This window comes from Homo sapiens, chromosome 2, assembly GCF_000001405.40.
Source record: "Homo sapiens chromosome 2, GRCh38.p14 Primary Assembly".
Taxonomy (NCBI): Eukaryota; Metazoa; Chordata; class Mammalia; order Primates; family Hominidae; genus Homo; species Homo sapiens.
In genome coordinates this window covers 27,582,729-27,600,827 of record NC_000002.12, presented here as the reverse complement: position 1 = coordinate 27,600,827, position 18,099 = coordinate 27,582,729, and the positions used below count along the sequence as shown (strand labels likewise).

The following is an 18,099-nucleotide window of genomic DNA, read 5'->3' as shown; positions in this document are numbered from 1 at the left end:
AAAATATCTAACCTGCTTGCAGTTTTCCATGTGTTTCTTTAAACCCTCTATGGTCTTCCTCCCCACTGCCTGGCAGGTAGGGCAGGAGACACTGCCTTTATCAACGATTTCTAAGTACCATTGCTCCTCCAAACTGCCTACAAAGGAGAGAAAGAAACACTTTGTAATCTGCAGTATTCTCCAGAAACAAAAAGCATAATCCCACGATTTAGGAAAAGTATCATAAAATGGTTTTTCCTTTTCCTGGTAGACTGCGATGAAGAGGCTCTTGCTGGGTATAACTTCTAAAAGTAGTATTTTTTAGACAGTGAAGAGTTTCTGAAAACTCCTACTCATTTCGCCATGATAAAAACCACCTGAGAACGGCTCCAAAGCCCAGTTGCTTCAAGAATTAGGCAGCAACATTTTTCACCACAGGATGTAACAATAGGATACTGAGAAACGTCACAGCCTGTCTGCTGAGTGATTCTTATGTGCCTGAGACTATGCTAAATGTTTTTATCCATTTAATTTTCAAAATAATTCTAACTGCCTTTATTACCCCTATTCATAGACAGGGAAACTGAGGCAAGAGGAAGTTAAATAAATTGAGGCAGGTCACAAAGTTAATGAAGAGCCAAAACTTGAGCAAAGGTCTGTCTGACTCCAAACTAGAGCCCTTAGTAACTGCCTCCTTAAAGAAATGCTTTAGTACCTCATTCCTTCACAGACAACACCAACAACAAATCAGAGTGTGAGAACTACATCCCTCAAAACTTCCAAAAGAAAACATACCTGCTGCATAAACTGGTGGTTCCTTCCGAATACGACGGGCCTGGGATTTGGGATTGGGCTGAGTTTTAGGCCGTTGCTTCCTCCCTGACATAAGACAGAAACTTGAAGCCCAGCATGTCACCCTTGCTAATACCAAAATCTCTTCCCTCTCCTCCTCTTCAACACCCTATTTCCCAGTCCCTCAACCGACTGACTGCCTAAGTCAGGACAGAATGAAAGGGTATAATGAGGCAGGATGGAGGCCATTCCCTCCCAAACAATTCAAAGGGCTCAGAGGTCACTGAAGGGCTCAAACTAAGGCTTCTCTTTCCTTTACCCTCAAAGAATAAAGCTCAGTCACCCAAGGAAAAAGAAGTAGCAAAGTTACTGCCTTACCATAAAGCTTATGCTTCTTCTGAGGAAATTCTCGATAGTCTTCATCTTCTTCCTGCCTGGGTTTCCTTTTCCCCTTGGCTGATACTCCACCTGACCCTGAAGTACCATACAAAAACAAAACAAAAACTCAGCACACTTTGTAAATGAACATCTAGGCCTGTCTTCAAAACATCATTCACAAGACCATCAAAAGGAAAGATCATCAGTGAACACAGGCCTCAGAGAAATGTCTGTGACATTTTTAGAGAAGTTGGTGTAACTTCTCATTAACTGACCCACTCTCCCTTTCTTTTTATATTGTTATCTATTCCAAATCATCCATTGTTCCTTATGAATAATAAGGGCATTCAAGCAATGTGTTTTGCTTAATCTTGACTTGAGGCTAACAAGAGGATAAGAATTGCTCAAGATAGAGGGCTAGCCACCAAGGACCCTTGAGATTGTGACGATCCAGAATATTCTCCCCTGAATAATCCTTACACCAGCCCCTAAATCATCAACAGAGGATCACACTAGAAGAAAAGGGGGGCCAGCCATGGTGACTCACATCTGTAATCCCAGCACTTTGAGATTACAGACTTTGGCCAAAGTGGGCGGATTACCTGAGGTCAGGAGTTCAAGACCAGCCTGACCAACATGGAGAAACCCCGTCTCTGCTAAAAATACAAAATTAGCCAGGTGTGGTGGCACATGCCTGTAATCCCAGCTACTCAGCTGGCATTACAAGCTGAGGCAGGAGAATCGCTTGAACCCAGGAGAAGGAGGGTGCGGTGAGCCTGAGCTCGAGTCATTGCACTCTAGTCTGGGCAAGAAGAGTGAAACTCCGTCTCAAAAAAAAAAGAAGAAGAAAAGGGGAATTCAAATACTACAAAGAGGAAAATCAAATGCTAAATATAATCTAGAGGAGTAAGATTAGCAGAATTTCACTCTATCACATAGCAGTTCATGAAGCTAATGGGACAGGATGCAATTGCCTAACACCTTAAATTTTTTTAAATCACTAATGAGAAACAAATATGTGGCATTTCATACTCTTTTTTTTTTTTTTTTGAGACGGAGTCTCGCTCTTTCGCCCAGGCTACAGTGCAATGGTGCGATCTCTGCTCAGTGCAACCTCTGCCTCCCAGGTTCATGCCATTCTCCTGCCTCAGCCTCCTGAGTAGCTGGGACTACAGGCGCCCACCACCAGGCCCCGCTAATTTTTTGTATTTTTAGTAGAGACGGGGTTTCACCATGTTAGCCAGGATGGTCTCGATCTCCTGACCTTGTGATCCGCCCGCCTCGACCTCCCAAAGTGCTGGGATTACAGGCGTGAGCCACCACGCTCAGCCGCCATTTAATACTTTTAAGAGGTATTTATAACAATCTCAAACTATAACTTTAGGAAGTGGCCCGTCTTCAGAATAAGACACTGATATTGATACCTTCGACATGAGAAGTAGCAGCTGGCTTGATTCTTCTCATCTTCATCCAGTAGGTAGATTTTCGGAAAGATGCTGGAAAATCACTCACTGGTTCACACGAAGATGCAGACGATGAACCACTTAAGGAGTCATCATGAGGGATAGTGTACTGGAAACTATTATCCTTTATGGAGCACTGGGTCCTGCTACTAATACAACATAAAAATATATACCACAAAGGAAGGTCTGGAGCAAAATTTCTATACATTCTTTTACATTATAACCAAGTTGGTTACCTCTGCAGAAAACTAAGAAGCCTGCTATAAAAACAGAATGTAAGTTGTAATCACCTAACAATAACAATAGTTGATCTAACACAACATGTACAATTATTATCACACTTCATTGTAATAAGAGTAAGCAGTACACATAAATGATCACTTTGCAGCCCAAGTAGACATTCCTTCCTAGATTCATCTAATAAAAGAAAGTAGGTGAAGCAATAAAGGTGTTCTATGACCCTTCAGAAGACTCCCTGGATTTGTAACCTGGTATGTCCCAGCCTCTCTCTTTCTCTGACAGAGGGATGGCAACTAAAGGGTATCTCTAAGGGAAAGGAATAGTCTGTGGGCCCTAATCTGACTCATCTTCCTTCTGCCTCAGCATTCTCCCTAAAACCTGATGCCCTATCTTATTTAGGCAACATGATACTTAGCTTCCACAGCTAAAGGATGGATGCTATCTTGCATGAATTAACCTGGCCAGAGATTTCTGGTATACAGCTGAATCCAGATTCCAAAATCTAAGACCAGTCAGTATGACAGCTAAAAAACATTACTCTGTAACTACAAAGCATCAGACATTCTTCTAGGTGGCTCAAGATGCAGCAGAGCAGCAGTTCTCCAAGAGTGGTCAATGGACTCCTAGAACCTCCCTTTTCCAGCTAAATACCTGTGAGGCCTACTTTAGATTTATGGTTCAGAAAGATCCTTCTGGCTGCTCTATGGAGACAGCCCATGGGAGAAAGAGTAAACAAAAGGAAAAAAGTTAACTTGAATTGGCAGATTCAAGGTAACACTTTAGATGTAGAGCTAATAAGAATTACACATAGAGAGGTTTGCTTATGACATCAGGGAGTTGGAAGTAACACAGTGACCATCCTTGCAAAATGTGATAGATGCCTACTATGGAATACTGTGCTGCTGTTAGAAGCAATAAACTAATTCTACACATAGAGACACGACCATAACTAAAAAGTATATTGTTGAATGAAAAAAGAAACAAAACAGTATCTCTAGCACAATGTCAGTTCAGCAAGCTAAAAACAAATCCACACATAAAGCAGCTTATTTTAAAGCTTATTTTTTAAAGGAGTCATAAATATTTAAGTGCAAACATCACACTTGTTTATACAGTTTCCTCTAGGAGGGAGGGGATGGAAATGGGGATGAGTAAACATAACAGAGACTGGTTATGTCAGTATGTTACAAATAGGGAAGAATGAGTTTCGGCTCTCCACACATGAGGTCCAATAACACAAATTTAATACACAGAAGTCCTGGCTCTGGAGGGGCAGCTAAGCCCACTAAGGCCCACCCCTCCTGCTCACTGGACTCTGTAAAACAAACAAAAACAAGTAAATTATGCAGGGGAGTCAAAGTTGGGAGAAGTGCCCCAAATGGGGTGAGTTTTCCAATTCTGTCTTTTTCCCTCAAGTAAGAATTTGCAATGAGGATGAACCCCACTTGCAGAGCAGCATAGGCAGCTTTAATTCTAGAAACTCCCTTCTTTCTTACCAGGTAAATCAGGAAAAAAGGTCCCTGTGGACCAGAGTTGGGGGACTGGGGGTGGGAGGAATGCTAGAGAGAAAACAGGCAAAAAAAAGAATCTCTTAATTCAATGTATGAATCCAAATAAGTCACAACTTAACCTTAGCCATGAATGTGTGGCATATACCCATACGTACCAGCCTAGCAAAGACTTTGAAAACCAAAATGAGATTTGAACTCTAATGTGACCCAAACCAAAGCAGCAAAAGCTTGGAGAACTGAAATAAGATTGGAAACACCTGCAGAAGTCTCAGACCAGCCCCTAAGCTATTCATGTTTGGGACAGCTCAAATCAACATAGCAAAGACATAAAGAACAGAACCGAGATTTTAACAAATGCCTCCAAAAGCAAGACAGAAGTTTTGGCCTGAACCTGAAGCAGGGTGGCCTGCTAAAACAGAAACGGCAACATTCCCCAGAAGAATTATAATAGGACCCAAAATCTACACAAAAAGTATTCACAATGATGAGGATAAATTCCAAAATTATGCAACACATAAAGAACCAGGAAAATGTGAGCAATTTTCAAAGGAACAAATGACCAAAACATGCCAGCCACAAGGTGATCCAGATTTTGGGACTATCAAATACTGTCAACAAAAAAGAAATACTTTCTTATAAAGAAAACACACAAGAAATGAAGGAAAAGGTGGGAATCATCAGCAGAAAAAGAAACCATAAAAAAGAACCAAATGAAATCTTAGAACTGAAAAATACAACATCTGAAATAAAAACTCATCAGATAGGTTCAGTAATAGAATGGAGATGACAGAGGAAAGAGTCTGTGAACTTGAAGACCGTTCAATAGAAATGACCCAGTCTCCACCGGGCACAGTGGCTCACGCCTGTAATCCAGCACTTTGGGAGGCCGAGGCAGGCGGATCACAAGGTCAGGAGTTCGAGACCAGCCTGATCAGCATAGTGAAACCCCGTCTCTACTAAAAATACAAAAGAATTAGCCAGGCCTGGTGGTGGGTGCCTGTAATCTCAGCTACTCGGCAGGCTGAGGCAGGAGAATCGCTTGAACCTGGGAGGCGGAGGCTGCAATGAGCAGAGATCGCGCCGCTGCAGTGAGCAGAGATCGCACCACTGCACTCCAGCCTGGGCGACAGTGCGAGACTCCATCTCAAAAAAAAAAAAAAAGAAAAGAAAAGAAAAAAAACCAGTCTGAAGAACAAAGAGAAAAAAAGATTGAAAAACATTCAACAAAACCCTAATACCAAACGTTTTAACTTAAGTGTAGTTGTAATCCCAGAGGGAGAGGCGAAAGATACTAATGCAGCTCTCGCTCTCCCTCTCCCCGCTCTCCTCCCTCTCCCTTCTTCGGTCTCCCTCTGTTGCCAAGGCTGGACCATACTGCCGTGATCTCACCTAGCTACAACCTCCCTACCTCGGGCTCCCCTGATTCTCCTGCCTGGGCCTGCCCAATGCCTGGGATTGCAGGCACGCGCCGCCACGCCTGACTGGTTTTTGTATTTTTGGTGGAGACGGGGTTTCGCCGTGTTGACCAGGCTGGTCTCCAGCTCCTGACCTCGAGTGATCTGCTCGCCTCCGCCTCCCGAGGTGCTGGGATTGCAGACGGAGTCTTGCTCACTCAATGCTCAATGTTGCCCAGGCTGGAGTGCAGTGGCGTGATCTCGGCTCGCTACAACCTCCACCTCCCAGCCGCCTGCCTTGGCCTCCCAAAGTGCTAAGACTACAGCCTCTGCCCGGCCGCCACCCCATCTAGGAAGTGAGGAGCGTCTCTGCCTGGCTGCCCATCATCTGGGATGGGAGGAGACCCTCTGCCCGGCCGCCCCGTCTGGGAAGTGAGGAGCGCCTCTGCCCGGCCGCCACCCCGTCTAGGAAGTGAGGAGCGTCTCTGCCTGGCCGCCCATCATCTGGGATGTGACCAGCGCCTCTGCCCGGCCGCCCTGTCTGGGAAGTGAGGAGCGCCTCTGCCCGGCCGCCCTGTCTGGGAGGTGAGGAGCACCTCTGCCCGGCCGCCACCCCGTCTGGGAGGTGAGGAGCGTCTCTGCCCAGCCGCCACCCCGTCTGGGAGGTGAGGAGCGTCTCTGCCCGGCCGCCACCCCTTCTGGGAGGTGAGGAGCGCCTCCGCCCGGCCGCCACCCCGTTTAGGAGGTGAGGAGCGCCTCTGCCCGGCTGCCACCCCGTCTGCGAACTGAGGAGTGCCTCTGCCCGGCCACCACCCCGTCTGGGATGTGAGGAGCGCCTCTGCCCGGCCGCCCTGTCCGGGAGGTGAGGAGTGCCTCTGCCTGGCCGCCCCATCTGGGATGTGAGGAGCGCCTCTGCCCGGCCGCCACCCTGTCTGGGAAGTGAGGAGCACCTCTGACTGGCCGCTGTGCAATCTTCCAAGTGTGAAGTGACAGCCTTTCTGCAGGTGTACCCAACAGCTCCGAAGAGACAGTGACCATTGAGAATGGGCCATGATGATGATGGCGGTTTTGTCGAAAAGAAAAGGGGGAAATGTGGAGAAAAGAAAGAGAGATCAGATTGTTACTGTGTCTGTGTAGAAAGAAGTAGACATAGGAGACTCCATTTTGTTCTGTACTAAGAAAAATTCTTCTGCCTTGGGATGCTGTTGATCTATAACCTTACCCCCAACCCTGTGCTCTCTGAAACATGTGCTGTGTCAACTCAGGGTTAAATGGAAAAAAAAAAAAAGAAAGAAAGAAAGATACTAAGGCAGAAAAATACATTTGAAAAAAAAAAGGTGGAAAATCCCCCACGTTTGGTCAGATATAAATTTACAGATTCAAGGAGCTCAACAAACACCAAATAGGATAACTCAAAGAAAAACATACCAAGATACATCTTTTTGTTTTGTTTTGAAACACAGTCTTGTTCTGTTCTCCAGGCCAGAGTGCAGTGGCACATGGCTCACTGCAGCTTGGACCTCTCTGGCTCAAGTGATCCTCTCACCTCACCATACCCGAGTAGCTGGAACCACAGGTGCACACCATCATACCCACTAAATTTTTGTGTTTTTTCATAGAGACAGGGTCTTGCTATGTTGCCCAGGCTGGTCCAAAGCACTTTTTTTTTTTTTTTTTTTGAGACAAGGTCTCACTCTGTCACTCAGGCTGGAGTGTAGTGGCTCAAGCACAGCCTCCACCTCCCAGGCTTAAACAATCCTCCCACCTCAGCCTCCTGAGTAGCTGAGACCACAAGTGTGTGCCACGGTACCCAGCTCATTCTTTTGTGTGTGTGTGTGTGTGTGTGTGTGTGTGTGTGTGTGTGTGTGTGTGTGTAGAGACAGGGTCTCACTTTGTTGTCCAGGCTGGTATCAAACTCCTGGGCTCAAGCAATCTTCCTACCTCAGCCTCCCAAACTGCTGGGATTACAGGCATGAGCCACGGTACCCAACCAAGACACATCTTAACGAAACTATTCAGCCAGGAAGGGGAGGGGAGACATGAGGGAGTGAAGAGAGGAAAAAAAGAAAAAGAATATAAATGTATCAGCCAGGCGTGGTGGCTCACGCCTGTAATCCCAGCACTTTGGGAGGCTGAGGCAGGTGGATCACCTGAGGTCAGGAGTTCACGACCAGCTTGACCAACATGGAGAAACCCCGTCACTACTAAAAATACAAAATTAGCTGGGCATGGTGGCACATGCCTATAATCCCAGCTACTCAGTAGGCTGAAGCAGAAGAATCGCTTGCACCTGGGAGGCAGAGGTTGTGGTGAGCCAAGATCGCGCCATTTGCACTCCAGCCTGGGCAACAAGAGCGAAACTCTGTCTCAAACAAAAAAAAAAAAAAAAAAAAAAAAAAAAAAGGTAAACATGGTAAATTATATGGGTATACTTTAACTCAATAAAAAATAAACTAGGCCAGGCATGGTGGCTCACACCTGTAATCCCAGCACTTTGGGAGGCCAAGGCAGGCAGATCACTTGAGGTCAGGAGTTGGAGACCAGCCTGGCCAATATTGTGAAACCCCACCTCTACTAAAATACAAAAATTAGCTGGGTGTGGTAGCGGGTGCCTGTAGTCCCAGCTACTTGGGAGGCTGAGACAGGAGAATCACTTGAATCTGGGAGGTGGAGGATGCAGTGAGCCGAGATCATGCCACTGCACTCCAGCTGCCCTGGGCTACAGAGCGAGACTCCATCTCAAAAAAAAAATAAAAATAAATAAATAAATAAAAAAACTAAGCTGGGTGCAATGGCTCAAGCCTGTAATCCCAGCACTTTAGGAGGCTGAGGCAGGCAGATCCCTTGAGCCCAGGAATTCAAGAACAGCCTGGGCAACATGGCAAAATCCTACCTCTATTAAAAATACAAAAAATTAGCCAGGTGTGGTGGTGTGCACCTGTAGTCCCAGCTACTCAGCAGGCTGAAGTGGGAGAATCACCTGAGCCCAGGAGGATGAGGCTGCAGTGAGCAGAGGTTGCGCCACTGCATTCCAGCCTGGGCAACGGGAGTTAGGCTCTGTCTCAAAAAAATTGTTTAAATAAATAAGAAACTATTCAAAGCCAAAGATTTTGTTTTAAACTAGAAAGCTTCAGAAAAGTGACATATTACATTACAGGAAATGATTTAAATGACCATGGGTTTCTCAACAGAAACCAAGAATGCCACAAGGCAGTACAGTATCTTTAAAATCGAACCAGTGTAATGGCTCACATTTGTAATCCCAGTACTTTGGGAGGCCAAGGCAGGGGGACTGAGCCCATGAGTTCAAGACCAGCCTGGGCAACATAGCAAGACCTTGTCTCTACAAAAAATAATTTTAAGGCTGGGCGCGGTGACTCGCGCCTGTAATCCCGACACTTTGGGAGGCCGAGGTGGGCAGATCACAAGGGCAAGAGATCAAGACCATCCTGGCCAACATGGTGAAACCCCATCTCTACTAAAAATACAAAAGCTGGGCGTGGTAGCATGCGCCTGTAGTCCCAGCTACTCGGGAGGCTGAGGCAGGAGAAATGCTTGAACCCGGGAGGCGGAGGTTGCAGTGAGCCAAGATACACCACTGTGCTCCAGCCTGGTGACAGAGCGAGACTCTGTCTCAAAATAATAATAATAATAATTTTAAGAACTTAATTGTACATTTTTAAATAACTAAAAGAGTGTAATTGGATTGTCTATAACACAAAGGATAAATGCTTGAGGGGATGGATATCCCATTCCCCATGATGTGATTTCACATTGTATGCCTGTATCAAAACATCTCATGTACCACATAAATATATATCCTTACTATGTACCCACAAAAATAAAAATAAAAAAATTTTAAAGCAATTATCCAGGTGTGGTGCCATGCAACTATAGTCCCAGCTACTTGGGAGGCTAAAGTGAGAGGATCCCTTGAGCTGAGGAATTTGAGGCTTCAGTGAGCTATGACCGCACCACTGCGCTTCAGCCTTGGCAACAGAGTGAGACCCTGTCTCTAAAAAGAAAAAAGAAAAGGAAAAAGAAATATCTTTAAAATTTTGAGAGAAAAAATTTGTCAACTCAGAATTCTATATTCAGTGAAAATATCCTAAGAAATAAAACTAAGAGAATTCATTGTAAGCAGACCTGCTCCATATGAAATGCTAAAACAAATGATTCCAGCTGAAGAAAAATAATACCAGAGAGAAACTTGGATTTTTAAGAATGAAGAAAGAGCAACAGAAATGGTAAACAGGCCGGGGTAGATGGCTCACACCTCTGTAATCTCAGCTACTTGGGAGGCTGAGGTGGGAGGATCACTTCAGCCCAGCAAGCAATGAATGTGCCACCAACTCCAGCCTGGGCAACAGAGCAAGACACTGTCTCTTAAAAAAACAAGAGTAGGGGCAGACACTAAGCATTCAAATAATCCAAAAGAAGAAACACAGGAACAAAAAACAATGGATAAACAGAGAACAAAAAATAAAAGGGCAGACCTATCCAACCATATCAATAATTAATTTAAATGTTTACAGTCTAAACACTCCAGTTAAAAGTCAGCAAATGACAGAGTAAAATAAAAAGTGATACCCTACTACATGCTACCTACAAGAAGCACACTCTAAAATATAAAGACATCTATAGATTGAAAATAAACAGATGAAAAAATTGTATCATACAATCAGCAAACATAAGGCTGGAATGACTATTTTAATATCAGATAAAACAGACTTCAAGACAAAGAGTACTGCCAGAGATAAAAAGAGACACTTCATAATGACAAAAGTGTCAAATCATTGGGAAGGCATAATTACCCACTGTATGTGCCTAATAATAGAGCCTCAAAATACACAAAGCGAAAACTGACAAAATTAAAGGGAAAAATAGACAATTCCACAATCTTAGCAGAAAATTTAAGACCTCCCCCTTTCAGCAACTGATAGAACTAGATAAAAATTCAGTAAAAGACATAAATGATCTGAACTGCACTATTAGCCACCTTGCTCTAGTTAACATTTACACAACACTACATCTAACAACTGCAGGATATATATTCTTTTCAAGTGCACATTATGCATTCATTAAGCTAGATCTTACGCTGGGCCATCAACTTTAACTTTTATTAAAAGGATGAGAATTACACAGTGTATTCTCTGACCACATTGGTATCAACTTAGGAGTCAATAATAGGAAGATATCTAAAAACAAAAAACACAAAAAATCCAAATATCTGCAAATTAAATAATCTACTTCTAAATAATTCATAGGTCCAAAATGAAATCACAAATGAAATTTGAAAATATTTTGCACTGAAAAACAACAAAAATATGCATATCAACATTTGTAGGATGCAACTAAAGCAATACTTAGAAACTTAAAGCTTTAAATGCTTATACTAGAAACGATCTAAAATCAATGACTTAAGATTTCATCTTAAGATACCTTAAAAGGAAAAGCAAAGTAAACCAAAGAAAAGGTAAGGTAAGAGGAGAAACCCATGAACTAGAAAACAGACAATAGGGGAAATGTGGTTCTTTGAAATGATCACAAAATTGACAACCCTGTAGCTAGACTTAGACTGATCTACAAAAAAAGACACTACAAATAGCCAATATCACAAATGAAAAAGGGGTTACCGCAGATTATGTAGACATTAAGTAATAATATACTTTGAATAACTTTATGCTAATCAATGGAAAAATTACAATGAACAAATTTCTTTAAAAATACTACTTACCAAAACTGACACAAGAAGAAACTGGAAATCTAAGTAGCCCTATATCTATTAAATAAACTGAATTTATGAAATCCTTCCCACAGTGAAAACTACAGGCCCATGTAGTTTCACTGCTGAATGCCATTGCAATAGGTTTAAAACAAGATCAAAAGGAAAAAAGCAAAACTGTCCCTACTTGCAGATTATATGATTGTTTACAAAATAAATCCCAAGGAATCTACAAAACAATTACTAGAACTAATAAATTAATTTATAAAGTGTCAGGATACAAGGATAACATACAAAGTCAACTGAATACTTATATACTAGCAACAATCAACTAGAAAATGACATTATAAAAATAATACCATTTACAATTACATCAGTAAAACATAATATACCTGGGAACAAACCTAACAAAAGACGTTCCAGACTTTTAAAAACAATGAAACTACAACACATTGCTGAGAGTAATTAAGAAGACTTAAAGGGGAAAATATAGCATGTTCATAAATCAGAAAACTCAATATTGTTAAAATAGCAATTTTCCCCAACGGAATCTATAGATTCAATATAATACCAATCAATACTCAGCAAGCTTCTTTTAATAGATATTGGCAACCCAATTCTATACTTCTTATAAAAACGCAAAGAACTGAGAATAACCAAAACAATTTTGAAAAAGAACACTAAAGTTAGAGGACTTACTGATTTCAAGAGTCTAAATAAACATCAGTAGAACAGAATAAGGAGAGTCCAGAAACAGACCTACACATATACATGTCCAAGTGAAGTTTGACAAAGATGCCAAGGCAATTCAGTAGGGAAAGAAAACTCTTTCCAACAACTGGGTATATAAATAGAAAAAAAAGTCAACATTGACCCTTACCATAAAACATTCACAGAAATTAACTCTAAATGAGTCACAGACCTAAATATAAAACCTATAAAACTTCTAGGAGAAAAGACCACAGAAAATCTCTGCAATTAGGGAGGCAAAAGTTTCTTTTTTTTAATTATTATTATTTCTTAAGACGGAATCTCGCTCTGTCGCCCAGGCTGGAGTGCAGTGGCACCACCTTGACTCGCTACGACCTCCAGGGAGGCAAAGGTTTCTTAAATAGGATACATAAAAGCATGAAATGTAAGAAAAAAATGATAAATTTAAACCTTTTGCTCTTCAAAAGACATCATTAAGAAAATGAAAGACAAACCAGACTGGAAGGAAGTATAACAGACAAACGAGTTGTATTCAGGACAGATTTTTTTAAATACCACAATTCAATAAGATAACCCACTTTTTTTAATGGACAAAAATGTAAACATTTTACAAAAGTAGACACACAAATGGCCAATAAGAATAGGAACAGATGAAGGCTGGGCGCGGTGGCTCACACCGTTAATCCCAGCACTTTGGGAGGCAAAGGTGGGCAGATCACCTGAGGTTGGGAGTTCGAGACCAGCCTGACCAACATGGAGAAACCCCGTCTCTACTAAAAATATAAAATTAGCCAGGCGTGGCGGCACATGCCTGTAATCCCAGCTACTCCGGAGGGTGAGCAGAAGAATAGCTTGAATCTGGGAGGCGGAGGTTGCAGTGAGCCGAGATTGCACCATTGCACTCCAGCCTGGGCAACAAGAGTGAAACTCTGTCTCAAAAAAAATAAAATAAAAAAGAATATGAACAGATGCAAAAAAAAAAAGATCAAAAAAAGAAAGAATACGAACAGATGCTCAACATTATTATTCATATATGATGAATTAAAAACCACAAATTAGGCCAGGTGTGGTGGCTCAAGCATGTAATCCCAGCACTTTGGGAGGCCAAGGTGGGCAGAACACTTAAGGTCAGGAGTTCGAGACCAGCCTGGCCAACATGGTGAAATCCCATCTCTACTAAAAATACCAAAATTAGTCAGGCGTGGTGATGCACACCGGTAATCCCAGCTACTCAGGAGGCTAAGGCAGAAGAATCAGTTAAACCTGGGAGGCAAAGGGTTCGGTGAGCCAGGATCAGGCCACTGCACTCCAGCCTGGGTGACAGAGGGAGACACTGTCTCAAAAAAAGAAAAAAAAAAAAAAAAAACCCATGAATTAAAACCACAGTGAGATACCACTACACACCCATTAAATTAGCTAAAATTGAAAAGACTGACTCATACATTGCTGGTAGGAATGCAAAATAATACCACTTTGGAAAGCAGGTAGTTTCCTAAAAAGCTAAACATACTCCTGCCATATGAATCAACCAACCTAGGATGGTAAATACCATCTTAGATATTTATCAAAAGAAATGAAAGCATTTGTCCACACAAGACTTGTACATGAACGTTCACAGCAGCCTTATTGTTTGACACCCTAAAACTGAAAATAACTCAAATGTCAATCAAGATAGATGGCTAAACAAATTATGGTATCCATAATGGAATTCTACCCAGCAATAAAAACTATTTGTCATCTCAAAATCATTATTCTGAGTGAAAGAAATCATGAAAAAAATGAGAACATACTGTGTGACTTCATTTATATAAAATCCTAGAATATGCAAACCACTGTACAGTGGTGCCCGTGGACAGGAGTGGAGGAAGAAATGGCAGAGACATGAACAAACTTTTGAGAGAGATGAAAATGTTTATTATCTTGATTGTGGCAATGGTTTCACGGGTACAGACATACGTCAAAGCTGACCATAGTGTACGCTTTAAATATGTGCAGTCTATTGTACTCTAATTATACCTCAATAAAGGTATTTTTAAAAATTAATGGACTGGCAGGCCTCTAAGGCCAAAACCTACCATCCCAAACAATGCTAGAAACACTTGATGGGACAGGCGCAGTGGCTCATGCCTGTAATCCTAGCACTTTGGAAGGCCAAGATGGGCGAACTGCCTGAGCTCAGGAGTTCAAGACCAGCCTGGGCAACACTGTGAAACCCCTTCTCTACTAAAATACAAAAACTTAGCAGGGCACAGCGGTGTGCACCTGTAATCCCAGCTACTCGGGAGGCTGAGGCAGGAGAATTGCTTGAACCCAGGAGGTGGAGGTTGTGGTGAGCCGAGATCATGCCACTGCACTCCAGCCTAGGCGACAGAGCAAGACTCCATCTCCAACAACAACAACAACAACAACAACAACAACAAAGACTTGATGGTACCAACAGGCCATTAAGAGCTGAGTCCCATGTAATAACTCTTAGGAAACTCTCCATGTAGGAATTTCTTACTATCAGTGTAGGACTCAGAAATACAGTACCCATATACCCTCTTATGAATAAGCATAAGCATACTGAAAAGGCAACAGTTCATATGATCATAATTAACTCTTGGAGATTAAATCAAGGTGGTTAGGGAATCCCTCCTCCAGGTCTCATGTTTTATTTTTAAAGCACTCAACAAAAACAATTCTCAAGTATTTTACAATATCTACCCATCAACCCCAGGACATTTGATTATTTGTAAAAAAAACCAGATTAAGCTCAAACTTCCCTTTCCATACATATAACAAGAAAAAGCTTTGTTGTGATACAATGACTATCATAATTGCATTTATTTTATAATTTGTTGCCACCAGTGTGGCAACTCTCAGCTTCTGATCACAAACATAAAAAGTTTAGCCTATTTTCAACTCCTTTCTGATCTACCAAAAATTTTTAAGAGCCCCTAGCTCATTCTTCCATGTGCAAATATTTAGATTTCATTAGAAAAGTACTTTAGTTCATCTCGGTATCCTTTGTAAACTTATTTAATTCTACCCAATCTTTAAAAGCTAGTGTTCTCCATGATTTCCTCCTCTACTCTTCTCTGGTCTCACTTCTCACCATTGACTCTCAAATGTCACAATCTCCTAGGAAGCTAGTTAAAAGTAAAGATTTCTATGCCCTAAACCCAATGATTCCAAATCTGGTTAATGGATGGGGGCCTAATAATCTTATTTTTTAACAATTATCTCTAGGTGACCAAGGTACATACTGAGAAACATTGCTCTAACCACTTTAACTAGAAGAGCTCATTAAAACTCTCAGCTTGTGGAAGAAAACATCATGTTTCCAATTATTTTTTATAGCTGATAATTCCCAATTCTGTATTTCAGACCAGCTCTTCATCTGAGGTCCAAACCTATTTGTTTTTGTTCCAAATGTTGCTCCTCATTCAGAAATTTGTAGTTCTGTGAATTACTCCAAAATTCACCTGATGGCCAAAGCCAGAAACCCATAGACATCCTATCTTCCTTCTCTTACTCACTTCTCATCATCACCACCTGTACATTCCCTATACGTTGTTCCCTACGTATTCCCTGTATATTGTTCCCACCATAGGCTACATGTTCTTTATTCATCTCTTAGGTTATCATAATAACCTCTGAACCAGTTTCCCAGTACCCTTCCAAATCCATCCTTCATAATGCTGCCAGAGTGGCCTAAGACCAATATCTGGCTATGTCATTCCCTCATTATCTCTTCCAGGATAAAATCCAAACACTTTAGCATGCCGTAACAGGTCCTCCATGGTCTAGCCCCTACTAACCTCTCTAAACGCTCTCCCTGCAATCCCTCATCCTCTATCCCAGACATACAGAACTACTTACTATCCCATTAACTCTTTCCACACGTTCACATGCTGTTCTCTGTTCTGAAAAACCTTTCTCCTTCTCACTAACTGCATGATTCCTCAACTTTCAAGTTTCTACTTAGGAGTGACCTGCTCTGATAATCCTTCCCTTCCAAACTATCACTCCCCTTCCTCAAAGGCTAAATTAAATTCCTACTTAAAAATACTTACTTATTACAATGAACTGTGTTGACCTACTTGCCTATCTCCCCTTCTAGACTGCTAGTTGTTTTTCATGCCTGTATTCCTAACCTACTACAGAACTGGCGCACAGCAAACATGTAGTAAATGTCACCTGAATGAATGAATCCATTTAATGTCTAGTTAACAAGAATGTTTTCTTTTGTATTAACCATGGAAAAACTAAGCACCTTCAGTGTACTAAATAATAAACCAGTCTTACAGACAAGTAGTTTAAAAATACAAGGATTTCTTACGGCCATTTTTATCATCCATCCCAAGTTCATCAGTGTATTTATGAGCACGAATTTCATGTCTGGAGAAATACAGAATTACCACTGAGTCTTTGGTTCCATTTTTATTACAATTTGTACTTTTTTTTTGCAAGCTAGGTTTTTCTCCCACACACTAGACTTAGACCTACACTGTCCAATCCGATAGCCACGAGCTACAGGTGGCTATTTAACGTTAGTTAAAATTAAATAAAATTTAAAATTCAATCCCTCAGTCGCACTAGCCACATTTCAAGCGCTCAAAAGGCGTACGGGGCTAGTAGCTATGATACTAGACAGTGCAGATACAGAACATTTTCGTCACAAGAAGTTCCACTGGACAGCGCTGGCCACAAAATCACAAAAGAACCTTAGAAAAACCTCACTCACTTGGCAAATAAAATTTAAAATTCAGTCCCTCAGTTGCACTAGCCACATTTCAACTGCTCAAAATCCACACCGGGTTAGTGGCTATGATACTGGACAATGCAGATACAGAACATTTTCATCACAGGAAGAAGTTCTACTGGTCAGCGCTGGTGACACAATCATAAAAGGACCTTAGAAAACCTCACTTACTTCTTAGCTCCCACGATCCTCGTGCTCCTCTGCTGCTTAAAGGTTGTGGGTCCCGAAGTCTAGCAAATCACAAGCACACGAGTGAGTGCTAGGGACCTCTGAACCTCGACCACAAAAAGACGAATTCCCCTATGCCCAGAAGAAATGAAGTTCTCCCGGGGAAACCACCTCAAACACAAGAAGGCAACACCTTTTAGGAAAAATATGCTGTCCTATCTTCCAGCAGTGCAAAGGCGGGTAACAATACCAGAGCCTTCGTCTTCCCCCATTCTCAAAGCCCTGTCCCAGGCTCTAAAAGGGAGGCCAAAAGAAAAGACAACGGATATGAGAGACATTGGGGATGTAAAAGGAATAGAAACTAATGGTAATGTGGCGAGGAATTAAATCCAAGGAGGTGGGGAACAGGCAGCAGAACGTGGGTAAAGAAAAAGGGACAGGTGATCTGATCTAGAAGGGTGGGGCCTACGATGGCCTCTGATAAAACCAACTCAGCATGGGACAAAAGCGAGGGACCGCGTGTTCCGGGCTCGACAGCGCTACCTCTAAAGCATAACGGTCAAACCAAGAAACTCACGGCGGGTACAGCACCGAGTCTGGAAGACATCACTCCCTCTCCACGCCTAACAATTTCACCCAAGGGCTCCGGCCAGACCAACGCCACTTCCGCTCTCCTCTCCCGGATGTGGGCTCGGCTCCGCCTAGCCCTCTTCTGAACTTCTACTTCCGCCTAGCAGCTTCCGAGGGGGCTGCGGCCGGAGCGAGTCACGTGATGAGTCACCCTCCGATTCCTCTGAGACCCCGCCCCACTGGGATCGCGACGCGGGACCCGGGAACCTATGGGTGGGGTCTGGAGTGAAGGGGCGGAGCTTGGAGCCTCGGCTGGGCCTCAAAACCCCTGGCTCTCATTCCGAATCTTTGCACAACTCCTCGTGTCCCTCCAGCCTGCCTTCCCCATCCACCCGCCCAGTGGTCTCAGTCCAGATGCACA

At 42.6% G+C, this 18,099-nt stretch overlaps 1 protein-coding gene across 6 annotated transcripts in view, besides 1 other annotated feature; it reads right to left on the bottom strand.

Moving 5' to 3' along the window:
• ZNF512 (zinc finger protein 512) overlaps positions 1 to 17,786 on the bottom strand; it is a 40,176-nt gene extending 22,390 nt beyond the window's left edge. The window contains exons 1-7 of one of the 6 annotated variants that reach the window (NM_001271318.2): positions 17,686 to 17,786; positions 17,302 to 17,402; positions 17,112 to 17,170; positions 2,574 to 2,761; positions 1,150 to 1,245; positions 775 to 858; positions 13 to 137 (exon numbers count right to left, since the gene is read on the bottom strand). In NM_001271318.2, coding sequence (NP_001258247.1) covers positions 13 to 137; positions 775 to 858; positions 1,150 to 1,245; positions 2,574 to 2,619 — 351 coding nt within the window. In that variant the 5' untranslated portion in view covers positions 2,620 to 2,761; positions 17,112 to 17,170; positions 17,302 to 17,402; positions 17,686 to 17,786. The remainder of the gene's footprint in view (positions 1 to 12; positions 138 to 774; positions 859 to 1,149; positions 1,246 to 2,573; positions 2,762 to 17,111; positions 17,171 to 17,301; positions 17,403 to 17,685) is intronic. The other 5 variants (NM_032434.4, NM_001271286.2, NM_001271287.2 and 2 more) reach the window with 5 other exon arrangements.
• Positions 17,539 to 17,988: an enhancer, noted in NCBI's record as "active region_15508". NCBI's record gives its function as "activates an Ori minimal core promoter by ATAC-STARR-seq in GM12878 lymphoblastoid cells {active_cell/tissue: GM12878}" and the evidence as "EXISTENCE:reporter gene assay evidence [ECO:0000049][PMID:35858748]".